Source organism: Homo sapiens, chromosome 8 (assembly GCF_000001405.40).
Source record: "Homo sapiens chromosome 8, GRCh38.p14 Primary Assembly".
In the NCBI taxonomy this organism is placed as follows: domain Eukaryota; kingdom Metazoa; phylum Chordata; class Mammalia; order Primates; family Hominidae; genus Homo; species Homo sapiens.
This window is the reverse complement of record NC_000008.11, coordinates 116,538,990-116,544,187: the sequence shown is the minus strand read 5'-3', so window position 1 is coordinate 116,544,187 and position 5,198 is coordinate 116,538,990.

Below are 5,198 nucleotides of genomic sequence, written 5' to 3'. Positions count from 1 at the left end.
TCAAGAGATCCTCCTGCCTCAGCCTCCCAAAGTGTTGGGATTACAGGTGTGAGCCACTGCATCTGGCTCATTTATTGCATTTCTTTCCAGTCTTTTTTCCATGCATACTTAGTGATCCTATGGTTCTTTAGTATTTCTGCTGTCTTCTCAGAGTCTTACCACACCATAACTACTCATTGAACATCCCACTTTCCTGTCATAGTTGCTTAGAGTTGTAGTTTTATGCCTTTTAAATATAAAACATAGTAATTATTGTTCACAGCTTGTAGTTAGTTTCATTGACTGATATTAACAAACCTTTTTGTCTGTTCACTGTGTTTTTCTTTAATCTCATTCCTCCCTATGGGTTTATCTTTCTTTTTGTTAAAGTGCATTCTTTAATAGTTCTTTTAGAAAATGTCTTTGGGTGTTAAAGTCTCTTGGTCTTTTATGTGTATAAAAATATTTATTTTGCTATCACATTTGAACCAGGGTTTAACTGGGTATAAAATTCTAGATAGATGCTTCTTTTTTTTCTTTTCTTTTTTTTTTGAGACGGAGTCTTGCTCTGTCACCCAGGCCAGAGTAGAATCGTGTGACTGTGGCTCACTGCAACCTCCTCCTCTCAAGTTCAAGTGATTCTCATGCCTTAGCCTCCCAGGTACTTGGCATTACAGGTGCATGCCACCACACCCAGCTAATATTTATATTTTTGGTGGAGATGGGTTTCACCGTGTTGGTTAGGCTGGTCTCGAACTCCTGACCTCAGGTGATCTGCCTGCCTCGGCCTCCCAAATTACTGGGAATACAGGCGTGAGCCACCAAGGCCTGGCTAGATGCTTATTTTCTCTCAGCACTCTGTGGTACCACTGCACTGATCTTTGCCATCTATGGCTGCAGCTTGGAAGTCCTCTCAAGGACTAGTTTTTGCTCATTCATGGGTAATCTGTGTCTTCTCTCTGGTCCTTTTTGAGGTTGTTTCCTTATCCTTTATGTCAGGGGTCCCTAAGCCCTAGCTGTGGACGGGTACCGGTCCGTGGCCTGTTAGGAACCCAGCCGCAGCATAGGAGGTGAGCAGCGGGCCAGCGAGCATTACCGCCTGAGCTCTGCTTCCTGTCAAATCAGCAGAGGCATTAGATTCTCATAGGAGAATTAGAATCTCATAGGATGAACTGAGGTGGAACAGTTTCATCCCAAAACCACCCCCTGCACTCCCCCAGTGAAAAAATTGTCTTCCGTGAAACCAGTCCCTGGTGCCAAAAACGTTAAAAACTGCTGCTTTATGTCCTGCCAATATGGATTTACTTTTATTTATCAGAAGGCATGATTGTTCTGAGAACTCACATTGCTCTTTCATTTTGAAATGCTCAGCAAGTATCATTTTAAATATTGCATCTTTGGTTGGGCATGGTGACTCAGTGATCCTAGCACTTTGGGAGGCCAAGGTGGGTGGATCTCTTGAGCCAGGAGTTCGAGGCCAGCCTGGGCAACATAGTGAGACCAGTCTCTACAAAAAAATGCAAAAATTAGCCAGGTATGGTGGCAAGCACCTGTAGTCCTACTACTCAGGAGGCTGAGGTGGGAGGTTCACCTGAACCTGGGGAGGTCGAGGCTGCAGTGATTTATGATTGCATCACTGGTCTCCAGCCTGGGTGACAGAGTGAGACCCTGTCTCAAAAAAAAAAAAAAAAAAAATTGCATCTTTACCAGTTCCTCCATTCTCTACTTTGTGGATGCTTTTTAATTAAATATTGGAGACTCTCATTCTCTTTTCCATGTGTCTTCACTGTCTTTCTAATTAAAAAACAATTGCTTTGTCTCTCTGTGTCTTATTCTGGGTGGCTTCATCAGGACTATCTTTTAGTTAATGAACTCTCTCTTTAACTAGGAACAGTCCAAAATTTTTCCTGTCATGTCACCTTTATATCAACATTTTTATTTTTCAGGATCCATTGGTCTTTTTCACAGCCTCTTGTTCTTGTTTGATTTCTTCCTGCTTAATGATTCCTTGTTCTTTTAAATCAACATTATGGCTTCTTTTATCCTCTTTATTGTATGTACTTCATTTTAAAGTCTTGGTCTGATATTTCTGTGAAATCAGTTTTACAATGGAGTGAATTTGTGTTCAAATTATCCATTTTTTGGCTTTCTTTTGTGGCTTTCTAGTTCCTCGCACAGTTTGAGATTCTTATTACATTTCTGCACACATTTTGAAATTCTTATTTCTGTGCTCATTTTGACTAAGGAGGATTTTAATTATTTTTCGTTTCTTTCTGGTGTTTTGTGGTTTCCTTCATCCATTTCTCTGAGTCCCCAGTCCAGAGCTGGGTCTGATAAAGGCAGTGATGGGGATTTCTGCTTCAGAGTGTGTTGTGGGTTGAACTGGGTCCCCAAGAAGATAAGTTGAAGTCCTAATCCTGGTACCTGTAAATGTGACCTTATTTGGAAATAAGGTCTTTGCAGACATAGTCAAATTAAGATGAGGTCACATTAGATTGGAGTAGCCCTAATCCAGTGGCTGATGTCTTTATAAGAGAAGAAAGAAGAGGGAGATTTAGATACAGAGACTCACTCACAGCAGAAGATGGTTATGTGAAGACCAAGGCAGAAATTGGAGTGATGCTGCCATAAACCAAGGAATGCCTGGGTCCACCAGAAGCTAAAAGAGGAAAAGAAAGATTGTTTCCCTAAAGCTTTTGATGAAGGTATGTCTCTTCAAACACCTTGAGTATGGGAATGTATCCTCCAGAAATGTGAGAGAATAAATTTTCATAGTTTTAAGCCACTTAGTTTGTGGTACTTTGTCATGTCAGCCTTAGAAAATTAATACAAGGTGATATTGGGAATACTACTGATCTATCACAGAGACAGAAGGTGGTTTGAATTGGTGCCTAGTTCCACCTGCCTTTTTGGACTTGCATCTACTGAAATGCACTTGTTTCAGACAGAGGGTGGCCTGCGCTATTTTTATTTTTGTGCCTCCTTTGGAGTGAAGGAGCTGAGAGAAGCTACTCCACCCCTTGGCTTCAAACACCGACTCTAGCTTGTGAACCGATCTAAATACCTACTTGTTTTGGGCCCTTTTGCTCGAAGCCTGCAGTCCTGAGACTTCAGTCCTACGTATCATTTTACATTATTGTCCCATCTTTACAAATGTATTTGTCTTGTTTTTGAACAAGCAATGTCATGTTGGTTTTCATTTTTTATATTTTATCAGTCGTTTTGTGCATTTAAAGCAGAGGGATGATTGAAGGGTGGATTTACTGAGGCATCCTGACCTGGAGGCTACAGTCTTTTTACACATGGCTTTTGTCACTAGTAAACTTGAAATAACTGCTTTGTTTCCATTTGACAAAAATAACATTGGTACTGTTGTTAGAAACTCTTTGTGAACATAATGTTTATTGGCTGTGTAATATTCCCTCAAATGGAATTGGGGTAGTTCTTTCAGGAAATACTTTATGGAGATAAAAGCCCTTGCCATGAAATATCTCAACTCATAGCTTGAAGAATCATTTTCAGCATACCGAAGGCAGAGGTATTTTTGTGTTTCAGTCTGGGTGGAGGCAATCAAGTTGAGTGAGTAACAAAAGAGAAGTGTTTCCACTTGTGTTTTAAATTCCTTGGGCGAGGGGAGATTACTTAAGAGAGGCTTCCCAATCTACTGAGCAATGTAAGTGGTTTCCATGGAATTTCATTTGGTTTCAGAATATAGCCTCAGGTTGTGTGTTATGAAGATAGTTTTGACATTTTAAATGATTGTAACTTGAAACAAAAAAACATTTTCCACTGGAGGTGGAAAACAAGCCACAAACAAACTGCCCTCTTCTAGAACAGCTAGGATTCAGTTTTTGATAATCAAGATCTTTCTCCTCAGATTCTAACAGGGAGCCCTTATGGGACTCTCTTGCTCCATCCTTCTTGAAACTGACACAGAAGTACTTGTCTGTGTTTTGGAGAGCAATGTGAGTTTCCTCTCATCTCATGATAATTTATGTCTTAGAAATGTGTGCGGCGAATGAACCAACGTTCTGAAGGAACTTCATGAAGAAACAACAGATAATTCAAGAAATGTTGTGCTAATAGGGGGTTTTATTGGGAACTGTACTTGCATCAGTTGGCTGTGAAGAACAGTTTGGTATCTCAGTTTTGCTGACTTAAGAAGTCAGCAGGGCCTTGGCTGTACTCAGACCAGCTCTTATTTGATTCAAGAATCACTTCTACTACATTCCCAAGAAGTAGTCATTACACTTCTGCTTGAGTATGCTCAATTACAGAAAATACATGACTTATAGTAGCAGCATATTCCATTGTTGGACAACCACAATTTTGGAAAGTTCTCGATATTGGGCAGAAGAGTGTTTTCCCATTTGTTCTAATATCCTGTCTGGAGCCACATAATAAATCTAGACTTTCTTCTAGATTTCGATTATCTAGGGGCCTTAGACATTTGATATGGGCTCCTTGGATCTTCTTTTCTCCAAGTAGTGTATCCCAGTTGTTTCAAACAATTTTCATATTTCTTTAACTGAAGAAATGATCCACGGTAGGGCTGGGACTGAGGCCAGAGACAGTGTCTTAAAACACAGTGGGAAGCCAGCCATGCAAGAGTTCTGCAGGAGCCAGTGGGTAGCAAAATAAAGTTCAAAAACAGAGGCCATTAATTAGGAAGGAGCTGGTGCCAGGGATAGAAGCACAGTAACAGCTGAAAAAGAATTCAGCAGAAGATTAGACTCTAATACTTTGGGTGGTGGAAAATGGTGGGGGTGAGTTCCAAAAAAAGTGACTGGTTTAGGAACAGGATGAGAGTTGGAGTTTAAGAGACCCCATAGAATCAGGATAGAGGAGAGCTTTCTGGAGTCTAGACAAGATATCACCAGTCAAGAAAACAACTCTACCTTTTGTTAGTTGTCTGGCCTGCTTCTTAATGGAAAACAGACGTGGCCTTTGATAATATGAAATGACTTTGTGGTTCCTCACCATGTTATTCTCTCTCCAAAGGACAGCCTTGAGTCGAAGTCACTTCAATTCACATCTAATGTATAGACTACAAAAGAGAAAACGTTCTCTTCTGCCAATAACTGCTGAGAAATCCTGTAACATAGACTTGCAGTTGATTGAAGCATAGCTAGATATCATTTTTATTGGCAGATTTATATCTACTAGCTCTTTCTACCCTTACCTATATCATAAATAAAGGACCTAGAGAGATGTGGCCT